Source organism: Homo sapiens, chromosome 3 (genome assembly GCF_000001405.40).
Source record: "Homo sapiens chromosome 3, GRCh38.p14 Primary Assembly".
Taxonomy (NCBI): domain Eukaryota; kingdom Metazoa; phylum Chordata; class Mammalia; order Primates; family Hominidae; genus Homo; species Homo sapiens.
This window is the reverse complement of record NC_000003.12, coordinates 191,424,925-191,442,468: the sequence shown is the minus strand read 5'-3', so window position 1 is coordinate 191,442,468 and position 17,544 is coordinate 191,424,925. Positions and strand designations below refer to the sequence as shown.

At 36.7% G+C, this 17,544-nt stretch overlaps 1 long non-coding RNA gene across 1 annotated transcript in view; it reads right to left on the bottom strand.

Moving 5' to 3' along the window:
- The window catches only part of PYDC2-AS1 (PYDC2 antisense RNA 1), a 164,833-nt gene extending 147,888 nt beyond the window's left edge, over nt 1-16,945 (bottom strand). Inside the window, exon 1 of the long non-coding RNA NR_120606.1 lies at nt 16,865-16,945. This is a non-coding gene — a long non-coding RNA (PYDC2 antisense RNA 1). The remainder of the gene's footprint in view (nt 1-16,864) is intronic.
- Nucleotides 16,946-17,544: the final 599 nt, after the last annotated feature.

Here is a 17,544-nt window from a genome sequence, read left to right as displayed (position 1 = left end):
ATGTTTCCAACCTCGATGGCTAAATGCCCTTTATGCTTTTCTGTCTACTTATTTCAGGGCCACAAAATCACTCAATGCCTTACCACCAAATCTCCTCCCTTTTCAATGAGTGGAACCACCGCCTTTCCTAACCCAGAACACAGAAATTATGCTTGATTCTTCCCATTCCCTTGTTTTTCACAAATCACTGAGGCCTGATGAGGCTACCCACGAAAGGTCTCTTTGTTCTACCAGATGCTCTTTACCTGCAATTCCTGATGCTTCCGAACCTTGCCACTTATATTAATAGCTTAGCTCTTCTCCCTGCCCCCAGATTGTTTGCCTTCAATATTTTCACCACAAAACTAACAGGATGATCCTTCTAAACTGCAGAGCCACTCAAGCTATTTCCCATTTCCTCCCATGCTTAAAACAGGTCATTGAATTCCCACAGTCTTCAAAATAAAATATCAACTTGGCCCTCCACAGTCTGTCACTGCCGATTTCTGCAGCTTCATCTTACCAAATTTGCCTTGCAGCCCACATTTTAGTCATACTGAAACGCATATACTGAATACTGACATTTCAATCATATTGAAATGAATGTTTTGAATGAATTTCTGGAAAAAATGCTCTTTAAACATTTGCACTTCTGCACATCCTCCTCATTTGACTCAGCTTGAACATCACCCAGGAAGCAGTGCCTGTTTTCTCTTAAGGGACTGAGAAAATTCTCCTTCTGTGTATTCTCATACAATCTCATTGAACTAATCTCAGCTACAAGATCATTTTATTATTTTATATAGTCAAATATGTGTTCCCTAGGCAGCTAGGTTCAGTGTTCCTTGAGGTTGTGCAGTATATTTTCTTCTTCCTACCCCCACTGTCTTTTGCAATGTCTGCCACATATTTGTACTCTATCAATGTTGAATGAATGAATTCAAGCACTACTTACTAGTAATCTTTTGCAGTTAGTAATGTGATAAAGCATGTACATTATCTAATTTAAACTTAAAAGTGTTTCACTTTGTATAGATGCATAGAGAGATGTAGAAACAGAAAGCAAATCACGAATTTCTAAGTTGATCTTTTTATTGTAGACACTAACATCGTTGTCCGTAATTTTACATGTGTGCCCACACAAATACATAATGTTTCTCATTCTGTAGAAATACAAAATACTCCCTTAGGGAGCATCAGGCAAGCTAAATTATTTTACATACTTCTGTGAATGAGAAAGACTGTTATTATAATTAGGCACATGTAACTAGAACATGCTAGACCAAAAAAGTCTTATGTAAGAAAAAGGTATTCTATTGATATTTTTGAGATTATAATTCTCTTTAAATACTATTCTTTTAAAAAGAAACAATATGTAGAGGGCTCATTAAAATATTATTTTATTTTTTTGAACTTTTATTTTAGGTTCAGGGGTACATGTGCAGGTGTGCTATATAGGTAAATTGCATGTCACACGGGTTCAGTGTACAAATTACTTTGTCACTCAGGTAATAAGCATAGTACCTAATAGGTAGTTTTTTGATCCTCGCCCTCTCCCACCCTCCACACCCAAGTGGGCCCCAGTGTCTGTTGTCCCCTTCTGTGTGTCCATGTGTGCTCAATGTGTAGCTTCCACTTATGAGTGGGAACGTGCAGTCTGTGTTTTTCTGTTCCAGAATTAGTTTGCTAAGGATAATGGCCTCCAGCTCTATCCATTTTCCTGCAAAGGACATGATCTCATTTTTCACGGCTGCATAGTATTCCATGGTGTATACGTACTACATTTTCTTTATCCTGTTTCCCATTGATGGGCATATAGGTTGATTCCATGTCTTTGCTATTGTGAGTAGTGTGCTGCATTGAACAGACACATGCACATGTCTTTATGATAGAATGATTTACATTCCCTTGGGCATATATCCAGTAATGGGATTGCAGGGTCGAATGGTAATGTTTTAAGTTCTTTGAGAAATTGCCAAACTGCTTTCTACAATGGCTGAACTAGTTTATATTCCCACCAGCACCACATAAGTCTTCCCTTCTTTCACAACCTCTCCAGCATCTGTTATTGTTCTGACTTTTTAGTAACAGCCATTCTGACTGGTGTGAGATGGTATCTCATTGCGGTTTTGATTGGCATTTCTGTAATTATCAGTGACATTGACCTTTTTGTCACATGATTGTTGGCTGCTGGTATGTCTTCTTTTGAAAAGTGTCTGCTCATCTCCTTTGCCTACTTTTTAATGTGGTTGTTTGCTTTTTTTCTTGTAAATTTGTATAAGTTCCTTATAGATGCTGGATATTCGACCTTTGTTGGGCACATAGTTTGCAAAAATTTTGTCTCATTCTGTAGGTTGTCTGTTTACTCTGTTCATAGTTTCTTTTGTTGGGCAGAAGCTCTTTAGTATAATTAGGTCCGATTTGTCAATTTTCAGTTTTGTTGCAATTGCTTTTGGCATCTTTGTCATGACGTCTTTGCCGGGTCTCACGTCCAGAATGATATTCCCTAGGTTATCTTCCAGGGATTTTATAGTAAACCATTATTTTAAGTAATCAAATGCATCTTTGAGACTTCAAAGATTATTAAAAATGATATAGCTCAACCTCTTCATATATTACAGGAAAGGAAATTGAGACTCAGAGGGGGAAAAACAGCTTGCATAAAATTGTACAGCTTGTAAATGGAAAAGTCAAAAGATGTTGGAACATTAAAAATTAAGTATGGCTCATTCCTTTAGTGTAAATGATAGGTTTAATTTAAAATATTGTGGCCTCTAGGTTTTTTCTCTGCAGTTTTAAAGCCTCACATTTTTAAAACCAAAATGAAAAGAGTAGTGATTCTATGTAGTACCCACTCATGATTGACTATTTTATTTGAGTGTAATGGGTGCTGCAGGGGCAGTTTACATGTCATCTGCTTTCAGCATTAAGCTCCTGACAAGCAGAATCCCAGGAAATACAACTTATGTACCATTAATCCATCAGGGTCTCTTAATAAAGTACAAACCTAAAGGTAGGTAAGGCCAACCAGCACTTAATCACTCTGAGGAGAACTAAACCACAAAAAGTAATGTCTGGAAAAACAAAGCTTTTTTCCAATTCTACCACTCTCGGGCTCTTTACTCCTTGCAATATAGAGATACTACATCTGACACACAGAATCTGGGTCAAGAAATGATTTTTTAAGTGACAGAATTGTCTGTAGTAAGATCATTTCCACTCCTACTGTATTATAGTTCTTTTCACTGGTGCTAATTCAATACATACAATGCAAATTAACTTTAGATCTCACTTTTGATTTTTTTAAATGAGGTATTATATAATGAACAATAATTAAGGCATTTTAGGTAAATTTTACTGACTCGGGTCACTAAGTACTCTTTCTTGTTTCCCTGAAATGTTTTATATTCTAGAAAATATTTGATGTTCATGTTTAAATATGATCTTATAATCTACGTATTCTTATTCATAATGATAATGAAAACAACTTCTACAACTTAAATAATGTGGCACATAGTTCACAAAGTGCTTTCATATAGATTTCACACAATCTCCACAATCCTATAGTACTTTCATTTTTTTATTTCACAGAGTTGTAGTAAGCTCAGGGATATTACATTAATTTGGAAGTTCACAATATTATTATCTGGTAGATCCTGAAGTTGATCTCATATTTTTGGACACCAAGTTTAGTGTTCTTTCCACTACTTAATTCTGTAATGTTGGTGAGGACATAATATTAGAAACGGAGTAATGCAGTTTTTTTTTTCCCCAACAAAGTTATTCAAAGTATATCAATTTTGGCTTCTAAGTGAATTTTCTTTCTTAAAATACCTTTCTATTCTAAGAAAAAAGTTTCCAAATTTTGGAGTCACTAAAAAATAAACACCAGTATTAGATAAAGGATAAATAAACTGAAAAGAAAGAAGAGAGAAGAAAGGAAGGAAGGAAGGAACAAAGGAGGGAATGAAAAGGAAAGAAGGAGAGAGGGAGGGAGGGAGGGAGGGAGGGAGGGAGGGAGGGAAGGAAGGAAGAAAGGAAGGAAGGAAGGAAGGAGGGGAGGGGAGGGAAGAGAAGGGAAAGGAAGGGAAGGTAATAAAGAGGAAAGATGGTGGAAGGAAAAGGAAGCAAAGGAAAGAAAAAGAAGAGAGGGGAAGGGAAACATCAGGCATTTCATTACCAAGAACAATTGTGCATTAGATATTTGAACAGTCCACCTTTCAAACTCTCTACCTCTTCTTAGCAAACCCTATGAAAATGCATTTGTGTATAAATATGTATGGTTTTCTGGGTCGAAGAATATAAAGCTTTCATCCATAATAGTCCATGGTACTATTATCAAAGGAGAACATTATCTGAAATAAGGAATTATTTGTGTGGGAGATGTAGAAAATGATAGAGCAAAATCTTCTAGGAGTAAAGAAGAAGCAACTGATTAAAACTAACAGAATCTGGAGGAGGGGGTTATGAAACTCATGGCATTTGAACTGGATCTTGAAAGACAGATTGAATTTCAATAGGAAGGGGGAAAAATAGGGCATTTCATGCTAACAGAAAGGCAGGAGCAAAAACACAAAATAAAAATGAATATCTTGGAAAGCAGATGTTTCAACAACTGTTGAATGGTTCAGGTGAGTGGGAGTGCTTAACAAGCGGCACTGATCAGAAAGCAAGTCAATTTTTGACCCCATTCCTGGCTTCCCAGTTTGTAGTTTCTCTTTGTTCTTATATATAAAGGATAGGCCATAGTTCTATTCCATTACAGAAGGACTGCAATAACTGCTTGCTAAATTAATCTATGCACACTTCCTGCCTCACTGTAATAAACTATTTGGTAATTTCTTCCACTAAAGAAATCAAATTATTTTCTTGTAAGTATATAGGAAGAGCATTCCTCAAAGAATATTATGCAAAAAAGGATAATGCTTGCCTTTTTGTTATTGTAGATTCTAAATATAAGCCTTTTTAACAAGCTGAGTTAACATCCCAATCTAGCCTATTCTTGTTTCTCTTTGCATGTGTTTTACTTATTCATCCACCTGAAATATTTCCAATTTGTAAAATTCAAGAAAACTGGGTTAATAAAACATGTGTGTCAAGAGTATATTTATTTTATCTCTAAATTTATTTTTTCACTACTATCTCAGTCCAGCACTAAAATCTGTAAAGAAGGAATTGACTATTATGTGGAAGTAACTTTAGAAACAAGGTTCATTGATTACGTGAGCTCTAAATTCCTTCTCTAAAAATTCTGCTATATATGTTCTCAAATTATTTTCTCTTTAGAGGAAAATAACTTGTTACATACTTTGGTTCTTTATAAATTGATTTAATATGTTTGCTACATTATTAGATGGTTTGTAGTTGCAACTTATATGGAAATTAAGTTCTAAAATCAGCACAGAAGGTGAAAATCCCATATTATGAATTACCAAATGCTAATTTAAAATATTTGCTACCAAAGTTACAGAGAAACAAATGGAAAGTCGTGAATTATAGAATAAAAATGCATTGAGTTGAAAATTACTAATTCAAAGTGCCACTTGATGAAACTTTATTACATATTTAATTGCAGGAACCTGCACCGATGATAGTATATAAATAGAGAGAAAGTAAACTAACAAATTATACTCTTTGTGTCAAAAATTATTGAGATTGTGCTGATTCATTATGCAGTTTTTCTTACCTCTAAACTCATTCTATACTCTGTGATGTTGGGGCTCAAAACATGGCAAACAACAATTCCCAGTTTGGGAACTGAATTTCTGCCAGTAGGCAGCATAATAGAGTAATAGTGGGAGATGGGAGGAGAGGGACAAGGAGTTCTTTCCTGCCTTACTCCTTTCCCCTGCAGCTGCGCTGGCAGTGACACCTGGTCAAGCCTGCAACTTCTTTCTGCAGTCACTAAACCAGCCACATAGGTCTTTGTCCCAGGCTCTTCCTGTACCTATGATTCTAGGTCACCAGTATTCCCCTTCTGCTCTTTCAGCTCATCAATATCTGTGTAATGGTATCCCAAAGCAAATCTACTCTACTTTAAATAACTAATATGGTTTCCATTTTCCCATTAGGACTCTGACTTACACTATATTTCCAAATGAATACTAGTCTGATGCTCTAACATCTTCTATAATAACCACAAAATAAGGATGAAGAGAAGATTCAGAAAAAGCCAAAGATGGTGTTCCACCCTTTGGAACCAAAAAAAATAGTACAGACACAAATAAGTACCGAATCCAGTGAAGAAAAATGTATTCTCTGAAGTTATCCAAGGCAAAACAGAATTCTCTAGACATCAATCACTCAGAAAAGAGGAACTGAAAGAAGAGCAATTTTATAAGAGAACTTTCCACTAAAAAACTAGGCCAAAAAAGCAGGGGTGGGGTTGGCAAGGAGGTGAAGAACAATTTTATCTTCTTCACTTTGAGAGCTTCGACATGATTTTATGCTTTTCAGCTTCAAAAATTGCCTTGTTCATAAAAGTTTCATGGGTAATTTAGGTATTTTCTGCAAAAAATACAGAATATATTATGAGTTTCTGAGTTCAGAAGTTTTCTCCATTAGCAACCAATTTCTGATTCCTCTCAAAAAGGCAACTCAGATATTTTGGTCCCTTTCAGCTACTCACATTCTCATTCAAGCGGATAACTAAATGAAAATAGAGCACCATCATTTTAATGTACCTCGGGGATAAAGACCATGTTATTTCAAAAGTTAAATATTTTAGTTCCAGAAACCATCATGGCACTTACATTTCTTTTAGAATAAAGGAAATAAATATCTCTACTTGGCCACCCATTAAGGTATACTTGGGCCACAATTTTATGGCAACTCCCAGCATAAGCCATTGACAAGTGAATTGTAACACAGTTGTCCTCAAGATGCCAATAATCACAGTCACATTGAAACCTCGCTGAGTACTGCTGACACAAGTAACACATAACCAATTAAAAGTAGCCAAGGACCAACAGGATCTGGGAAATAGGGAGACATGTATATCCTACAGATGTTAGAAACAAGCTGAGCTTTCCTCCTCATCTGTAAGTGTGCAGACAGACCAATTAGTTCATTATATTGATATATTTAGAGGCAGATTATCCCAGGAAAACAGTTTGGCTCCTGCTCATTCTGGTTTTTGTTTTCAAATACAATAATGTCACTTCATATTTTTAGAAGAAGGTACAAATCTTTTTCACATCTCTTATCTAACTTGATCCACACAGAAGCAATACTCTGAGCTGACAAGCAAATACATGCATACATGCTCACGGAGGTGGAGCATCAGGCATGATCACACAGATGTGCAATAGGGAGTCAGTACTAAGCAGTCAGAATCATCAGAAAGCTGGGAAATGGGGTCATCAATATTCTCAAACAAAAATGGTATACTCAGGACTTAAGTTCTAATTTTTCAAGGGAAAAATAAGTTTTACTACAGATGTCAGAGGATAAATAATTTCAGCCAGACCCAAGCAAGATTTTTGTCTTATATTCACAAAGAAATAAAACCAAGTTACTAAGTTACATACACTCCTTTGGAGCTAAAGTCTTTCTCGCAAAGTAGAAAGTCCAAAGAATGAGAATTATGATTTGACATGACCTGAAACTATCATTGGATTACCCACATATAACAGATGTTGATGGCATTCTAGAAGCTAAAAAGCAATATAAACTAAAGCAGAATTACAGGAGAAAAGACTCAACTATCTGCTGTGTAATATTAGGTAAAGTAATTTATCATACTGTAAATTTCTTCTTCAGCAAAATGAAAATAATATTTCCTCTCTGTATTATTTTAAAATTTTAAATAATCTTAACAGCCAGTGTTCCCCTGCTAAAAACTCAGCCCAGAAGTACCCCAATGAGAGAAGAGAATCAAACAACAATTCCACAAGAATGTTACTGCTAAAATAAAATTACACAGACACCTGCTTCACCTTGAGCGAAGTCTGGGCCATAAAAGTTTAAAAACCACAGAGGTTGCCAAAAGACTCCACACAGAGAGGACCATTCTGCAAGAAGACTGAGCATGGTTTATGCATTGAGGTAGAACTCAGGCCTCATCCATTTTGCATTACTCCTTTGGAGAGTGAATGTAAAAGATTTCAGGCCATAAATAATTTACCTAAACACCCACAGATCTCCTAAGTATTAGGGCTGTTCTTTTAAATAGGCCAAAACCTGTGAAAATTTGCCAGAGACAGCCAGCCATGCCCAGAAGCAAAAGCCGGCCAGCAATGGAATTGCAGCAGCATTCCAGGACTAATCTCATTCCTGGAAATGGGATTTTCTCATGCTCTTCCCACAGAGCCTGGAGGGCCTCAGAACCTCACCTTGGGTCTTCCTAATGGCTTCTAGAACAGACCTAATCTTGCTAGTGTCTAGCTTCAGAAATCTAGTTTTCCAGAACCTCATTCACACAATTCCAACTGTTTCTTCTGACCTTAGAGGGTTCAATTTAACTCTTTCTTCCTACCACAGTAGAAGGAAGGAACACAGACATTATTCTCAGAGACAGGATCTCGAGAATTTATGGTTCCCCCAAAATGTCCAGTGGCTGTCAGAAGGAGCCTCCTTTTCTTTAAGAAAATTCCAGTGTTTTTAATTGTGAGCACTTGCCTTCACTCGAAGCCCCCAAACCCTAAGATGATTCCTGGCATTAAGAGGATTTAGGGGCCAGGCCAGGTGCAGTAGTTCACACCTATAATCCCAGCATTTTGGGATACCAAGGCCGGCAGATCACTTGAGGCCAGGAGTTCGAGACCAGCTTGGCCAACATGGTGAAACCCGTCCCTACTAAAAATACAAAAAAAAAAAAAAAATAGCCGGTGTGGTGGCAGGTGTCTGTAATCCCAGCTACTCGGGAGGCTGAGGCAGGAGAATCACTTGAACTGGGAACCAGGAGGTGGAGGTTGCAGTGAGCTGAGATTGTGACACTGCACTCCAGCCAGGGTAAGACAGCCAGACTCTGTCTAAAAAAAGAAAAAGACTTTGGGCTATAGAATTAGGTATGGTATCCCCAATGTCCCCAAAATCTGTTCAGCTACTTAGCAGTACATCAGGCCATCTCTGAAATGCTCCAAAGTTACAAAATTCTCAATCATTTGTGAATTCTGATGGAGCCCAGAATTGTTTCTGAAGCTCACAGTAGGTGTAGGAACACCCAGTGATTAACCCTAGGTCCTTCTCTGAAGGCCAGGTTGTCCAGAAACCCCATGAGTTTCCTCCTTCATCACATAAGGGTGTGTGCACCCTGAAGGCAGAATCAGCACCTGAGCTACTTCCAGGTCAGTGACGGTGTCCAGGCTGCCCCCTAGAGCTGATTGGTTGTGCCCTGATTGCCCCCAGAAATCTTTTACCTTATCTTCTCATGGGAAAAAAAATCCCAGGAAGACCATAGCCCTAACTGCCACTGGAAGCACTGGAATCCAAGATAGAGATCTCAAAGATTTCTTTAGCTTTTCTGGAGTAAGTAGGGGCTGTCACATGGCCTCAGCTTAGAAGAAAGGCCAGCAGTCATTAGCCAGTATTCCTATTGAGTTTATACATGACTGTGAAGATCTAAAGGTTGGCACAAGGATTCACAGATCAACTCTGGGTGAGGTTAATGCTATCAAGAATTAGCCCTAAACCTGCAATTATAGATTGTAATCTGGCCATATTCAGAGACCCTCAATTCTGAGATCTCTAGAAACTTGTCCTAGTACTTCTCTAGGATAGGCAAAAAAGCCCTGTATATAGCAACTCTTAGGCTTGAGAAATTAATTATAGTGAAACAGAAGGCTTCTAGGTGAACTTGGCCAGCTTCTTGGGAAATGTTGACTTTATGTGAAAAAACACCGTATGTCTGAATATCTCTCTCAGTATCAGGTACCTGATGTCAGAGGTTTTTACCACAAAAACAAACAATAACAACAAAATCTTACAGTTACCCAAAAACCCTATTATCCCCACAGTGAGACATCCAAAGAAGAAATGGCTCTGCAAGGCATACACAGAGGGCTGAATGTTTGTGTCCCTCAAAATTCATATGTTAAAATCCTAGTTCCAACATGATATATTTAGAGGAGGGGCCTTTAAGAATAATTAGGTCATGAGAGCGGAGCCCTCTTAAGTAGGATTAGTGCCCTTACAAAAGGGACCCTCTCACCCTCTTTCTGCCATGTGAGCCTACCATGAGAAGTCAACAGTCTACAAACGGGAGGAGGGCCCTCGCCAGAACTCAACAATGCTGGCACCTTGATCCTGGCCTTCTAGCCTCCAGAACTGTAAGAAATCAATTTCTGTTGTTATAAGCTACGCAGTCCATGGTTATAGCAGCACGAGCTGACTAAGATAACACAGACCATCCCTCACAGTACAAAGGGCCTTCACTGAGTAAGACCCAAATGTCTTCCAAGGACCTGGGAATCCTGAGCCATCTTGCAGTCAGTCTCACAAAGGTTATTGTTACCTTTGTGTCAGATTTGTTACTTCCTTAACAAAGGTCTGCAAGACCAACTACTTTTTCTTACCTTTACTCAAAAGTAAAGTATGTTTGCTATAACAATTCAAAAGGAAATATAGGTGTTTATAAAGTAAAACTAGGTTTCTCCCTTCTCCACTTTCTCTGGGGAAATCTGATATGTATTTGTTATATTCTTTTCTATGATATATATATTATATATAAAATATCACATATAACGAATATATAGGATATTATGTTTTTAACATAAATTATATCATAAACACACACACATATTGAAGTGTTTCCATGTTCGTTTCACTTTGTCTTTTTAAATCAATGCGTCAGTAGCCATTTTCCACCTTATCTTTCTCCACCATCGCTCTTAGTTAATAATTTTCCTTTTCATCAATAAGTTAGGTAATCATGAGGGAACTTTCACAAAAACCCTCCTACCAACAACTATGTTCAGATTCTCTGCCTTCTCTCCTATTCCTATGGCTGCCAGGACACTGCCTTCTCCTGGTTTTCTTCCTTTACAATGGGTCACTCATTCTCAGTCTTGATTCTGGTTCCACTTCATATTCCCAAGCTCTGAAGTGTAGAGTGTCCCAGGATTCATCCTTAGACCTCTTATTTTCTCAAGAGACAATCAGTCTCTAGTGATCTGATCCAGTTCTGTGGGTTTCAATGCCATATCTACACTGATGCTTCCAAATCTCCATATGAAACCTCTTTCCTAAACTTCAGAGGAATGTGTCTATTTGTCCACATCAAATCTCCACTTGGAGGTCTAACAGTTCTCTCAAACTCACCACGTCTGATCTCCACTGCCCCCTCTCTCCAGTTGTTACTGTTGTTTTCATCATAGTAGCATTACAGTAAGTTTTACTATGTGGTAATGCAGGAATTCTTCCATTGTTATGTGTCAATATTTTCTTCAGGTTCTATTGAATAATTGTACAAGTGCTCACACTGGGCTTACAAAGATATAATTTTGAGCAAGTCACCTTCCCCTCTCTAAGACTCATTTGGAAAATCAGGTCAATAGTTTTCAGTGCACTTTCCTTGGTGTTCCTGGAGATTACTCTTACTTTAATTCAAGCTCTATTACATTTCATCCAGATTCCCGGGTAGGTAGGGGTGTGTGTGTGTGTGTGTGTGTGTGTGTGTGTGTGTGTGTGTGTAAAGGTTTATGGTCATGTACTTTGCCATACAGGTAGATGTAGATGTCCCCACATCTCTCAAGTAATTTGTCTATAAAATAAGAGGGTTCAGCTGATTTTGCCCCTTATTGTCTTCCCTAGAGCAGTGACAAGGGTATCACTTAGGCGATTAATAGAAATGCAGAACCCAGGCCCTCCTCCCAGACCTACAGGTGATTTACTTGTCCATTCAGCACTGAAGTAGGCAGTGTTCCCTTATACTCCTGCAGCTCTGGCATTACAGGAGAAACCAAAAATTAAGTTATCATAATTCTGGTTTTCTTATTTTTTTTTCTAAACATTAGACTGAATTAAATTGGAAACATTCTCCAAGGTTTAAGAATTCCCTAAAGAATTTGAAAGAGGGTGAGGAAAAAAGCAGTAAAAAGGTATTCTTGCAATTGACCTGGCCTGTGATAAATACTGAGGTCTTTTTCTCTCCTCACTTGTATGTGACAAAGATTCTTTCCTTGGCCAAACTCTACTCAGGTTCCTATAAGCAATTTTCCAACAAGTCCTGACCTTTAGACTTCTGACATCATCTCTGCACGGTCCAATTTTAGCACAAATCTGGCTAAGTCAGTTAAGTGAAAGTCCTCCACCTTCGATATCTAATCAAATCCCTCACTTCCCATACTGGATGTCTTATCACACTGGCTTGCCTTCAGCAAGGGTCCTACTAAGTACATTTAGCCGGAATACCACCTCGATCCTTGATGTTTCCTCTTAGCAATTTTTCATCGAGCGACCCTCACTCTGCTCCTTGGCTATAAATTCCTACTTTTCCTTTTTACATTCGGTGTCAAGCTCAATCTCTCTTCCCAATGCAAGACCCAATTTCAGTGGTCCTTACACTTATCTTGATAGTCATCCTCCCACAAGGCTTTAATAAAGTCTTTCTTACTGTCTTTAATAAGCATTAGAATAATTTTTTCTTTAACACATAATTATATTTGTTTTTCATCTGTTTGGGGCTTGTTTTTTTTTGTTCATTTGTTTTTTCTTTTTGCTTTTTTTTTTCCTCTCATTTTTTTCTCTATTCCATTAATTCTGAAAATGTCCACTACCCTGCTCAAACATCTTTAGCTAAGTCTTGCTTTCCTACTTCAACCTGTTCAGGTACACATTATCTATTCCATGTAAGGTTTTCTTCTAAGACTTTATCTGAAAATAAGTTCTCTGGTTTTAAAAATATAAAACAAGAATTTTTTCATCTCTAACATTTTCATATTTTAGCATTAGTTATAAAATAAAAGATAAATTACATAAGAAAAAATATAAATAGCTGACAAGTATATTTAAAAGATTAATCTTTCTAGTAATCAAGAAAATGTGTCTTAAAACAAGACAGGATTTTTAAGCTATCAAGTTGACATGGATTATAGATAATACCCAGCGTTATGCCGCATACATGTGTTTCTCAGAGTTTGAGTATACAACGTTATTCACACTCTGAAAAAAGAAACATATATCACAAATATTTTTAAATGCAGTCTTTAATCTTTTCATCATATTTGTAGGAGTTTATCATAAGAAAACATTTAAGAATGTACACAAATATTTAGCTAGAGGGATAGTTATCAAAGTGTTGTCTTTATTAGGGGAGTAAGAAAAAAACTGGAAAGCTATAAATATCAAATAAATGTAAATTAACTTCAGCTGTTTATGGTAAAATTGTAGTGGAACAACACTTAGAGGGAATGGTATTTACAATATATCAATTTTAAAGGGTGTGTTTCAAAATAATATGAATCCCATTTTAGTAAAATAAATATGTACATGTGAGTGTCCATGTACATCTGCGTGTGTGTGTGTGTGTTGCTTGAGAAAAACATAAATGAGTTACCTTTTGCACTGGAATTACAAAGTTTCTAATTTAGATTCAGTATTTGTGGTTTTTAAGTAGGGAAAAAAATAAGAAAAAAAGTATTATTAATTTCCAAAAGTACAGAGTCTTTCTCCCAAGACTGATGATGGAAGAGGACAAAGTCAAACCCTAAGAAAGAGTTTAGCTTTCCTTTTTCAATTTTCTGTTCTTCATTGTTTTTAGGTGAAAACTACTAATTAGCAAATCACCTTTTGATAAGCAATGAGTGTCCTGGTGTGGCCAAAATGCAATTATTTAGGCAACGAATTAGTCACTGAACAAACATATAACTACTTTTGTCCCTTAAATAGAAATAACATATAGGGTGTTTATCTCTTTAGGTTTTCTCTGTACCTGACTTCTGTTCTCTTTGGCACTTAATAATACTTTTGCCAGTGGGTTCATGACAAAGGTATATATATTTATCCAAACCACTCAGTGTGTCCATTTCTAGCAGCTACAGTAAAAATTCAAGTGTTAAAGTAGATGACAACTATTGACTAATGGTTGAGGAAAAAGCAATATTTTTTTCAATTGTTTATCTCTGTCAACAACTAAGAAAAACAAAATATTAGAGAAATCATTTAATTGCTGATTAAGCAATGTTAAAATAGACACTAATATTTTGCAAAGTAAGATGCAAATACATTACTTGTAATTTTAATTTCAAAACAAAATGAAATAAAGTTTAACAAATAATTTGCGTGAATAATTTTATTTTCTAATTTTTAAAAAGTCATTTGAATAAATTATGAAAAAACAGATAAGCAAAAGAAAATATAAGTTAAAATCATCCATCATCCCACTGCCAAAGGACAACTATCCTTAACATTTGTATATTTACCGTTTAGTGTATTTTCTATACTAAAATAGATAGGTGTATATAACATATATAACTTGAATCATAGTAAGCCTATTGTTTCATAAGATTCATTCCATTAAAAAATAAGTCAATAAGCTATTTTGTGGATTACTATCTTATAACAGAAATGTAATGGCAGCAGGATGATCCACATGACAAGCTGATAAAAATTTATTTTTTTTCCGCTTTTTATTTTGAAATTTTAGACTCAGAATAGTTGTAGTAATAGCACAAAGAAATCCTAAAAGTCTTAAATTTCTGAATGTTAACATGTTACTGCATGTGTTCAGCATTCCCATGCATACTTTCTCTCTTTCCCTCTCATATGACTCCTTCTCTCCACAGACTATGTATACATGTGTACATAAATACATATATATACGTATAATACTTTCTAAAGAGAAAGCTGCAAACAGAATTACGCTCTAAACACTTGAGTGTAATTTTCTAAAATGAAGGATGTTCTTTTACATAAACATTACAATTAATAAAATTAGTAAAATTACTTGACATTGATGCAATACTTCTTGTGATACACAGATCAAAGTTACAGAATAAATTCAAATTTCTCCCATTTTTTCTATAATGCCTTTTATAGACCAGGAATGTTCTTTTTCTTATCCAGAGCACAAGCAAGGATAACACATTGCATTAGTAAATTGGGTCAGAGCCAAATCATAGTGGACATTAAGATGTAGGTCTATTAAGAAGTTTCTACTTAATCTTATAAGAATAGAAGACATTGGAAGTTTTAAGCTCAGATTATCAGATTTTGTTTTGTTTTGTTTTTTAAAGGCATTTCTGTTGGCATCACAGAAAATGATTTGGAAGAACAAGACTGTTTAATACATTTCTGGAACAGTGAGACACAAGAGGACAAGGCACAGACCATACAGATGGAGAGGAGGGGAAAATAAGAGATGAATGAAAATGAAGTGTGCAAAGGCAAAGCCTGTGCTCCTCCATTCCAAAGCAGGAATTAAATGGTTTAAGTTTGTGATGGCAGACCATCTCCTACCACTGCTATTCACTTATAAGGAAGAGGACAAGAAAATGTCCTGCCTTCAACTTATGTTTGCAAAGAATGTTTTAAGATTGAGTTTGTAATGCATTGTGTATTTCTCAGTGAAAAGGGATAGTCCAGTTTAACAACTGTCCATTTCACATTTAGCAATCTGTTTACACCATCACAGCCCCCTATTATACGCCAAACTACGAAAGGCCTTGAATGTCAGCCCCCAAAGGTCTTACTTTCTCTAATAGCCAGCCTAAGGTTAGAGATCACTCTTACTTTTGCACTTAAATAAATGGATGGTGCTAAACTTCTGTCATTTAACAAGCTAAATTAAAGAATAATTAACAGCCTTAACAGTTAAAATAAAAATATGCATAAGATGTTTTACAATCCTATAAAACCTAATGAAATATATTATTCAATTAAAAACTTTCACCTGAGAACTTAGGTTCTTAGGTTTATCATACAATTCAATCTGCACATCTTCTGGGAATTGAGTTAAAAATGCAGATTTTGATTCCATGGGTCTGGGGTGGAGTCTAAGATTCGGCATTTTAACATGCTGCCAGGGTTTGTCCATGATGCTAGTTCCCAGACCACACTCTGAATAACAAGAATGTAGCAATCATTGATTGAGTCTCACTGGATAATAGATTTTTACTTGGAGAGGGAGGTGGCACAAGCAGGCTGGAAAGAGTACAAGGGTGGGAGTCAAGGATAAATAGTTCAAGAACTATCTCTGCCATTAATAAACTGGGTGACATGAGGCAGATCCTATGATCATTTGGGGCCTCAGTTTCCTCGATGTATATATCTGCAATGGAATAGTGAATTGGTTTTCTAGGACATAAAGATATGTTTTTAGCAAACATTTAACAAAATTCAAACCTTAATGAGCAGACATGCTATGGCTGGTTTAGTTGCAGTAAATGTATTTATTTAAAAATGTTCAATGTTTTCCTGCTGAGAGTGCATCTGAAATAGTTACCATCTGATTATAAAGAAAATGGAAAACTAAATTTCAAGAGAAAATGACCTCTTCTCTTCATAAAGTTGAAGGCTAAATGAAAGAACAAACAAAGACTGTGGCCGAGGAACCATAAATCAGGAGATTAAAATATTCCTTCTATATACAGAAATAAATAACCTACTTTTCTTCCTTAGGCATGGCTTTTAGCAAAATACACTGTTTTTGAATTTGAAATGAAACAGTTTTTCATTTCATTTAAACATGTGGCTCTCAACCGATGGGAGACAAAAGACAATTAAGTATAGTCTATTGCTTGCAGAAGCATTCAGATTAGTAGGGGCAGTGTTCCCAAGAAATCAATGGGGTCTAATCAGAACACCCAAAATCCAAAAGTATACACCTTGTACAAAACATTATTTCTTCATAATCTGTAAGTCGTTGTATTAGTCTGTTTTCACACTGCTGATAAAGACATACCCGAGACTGGGCAGTTTACAAAAGAAACAGGTTTATTGGACTTACAGTTCCATGTGGCTAAGGAGGCCTCACAATCATGGAGGAAAGTGAAAGGTACATCTCACATGGCGACAGACGAGAAGAAAGCGTCTGCAGGGAAGCTCCCATTTTTAAAACCATCAGATCTCGTGAGACTTATTCACTATCACGAGAACAGCACGGGACCCGCCCGATGATTCAATCACCTCCCACCAGGTTCCTCCGGCAACATGTGGGAATTGTGGGAGTTACAATTCAAAATGCTATTTGAGTGGAGACACAGCCAAACCATATCAGTAGTAAACTAGATAGAATGGATTTTTAAAAAGTGAAGAAAGAGAAAAAGAGAGGGAAGGAAGGAGAGAGAGCTGTATTATTTAACTTGGCAGAGACTTATAGTGAGCACATTCATTCACTTGTCACAATCTTTGGGATCAGCTGTGTTTTTGAAGCAGCCCAGTATCCAGGGGTCACCTTTTGCCAGCTGCCTGGGTCCTGTTGCTTTTGATCACTTTCTCTGGCAGATGTGATGTGATTCTATTTGCCAGCTCGCTCCTTTGACTTTGCTAACTCAGTGCACACTGCTCTCATCTCACTAGCAGGGCTGCCTCTGGGTGAAAGCACTTACTCCTGCCAAAGGCGATCTCCCCTTGGAAGGGCAAGCCCCTGTCATCACCTGACAGCCCAGACTCCCACGGCAGATGCAG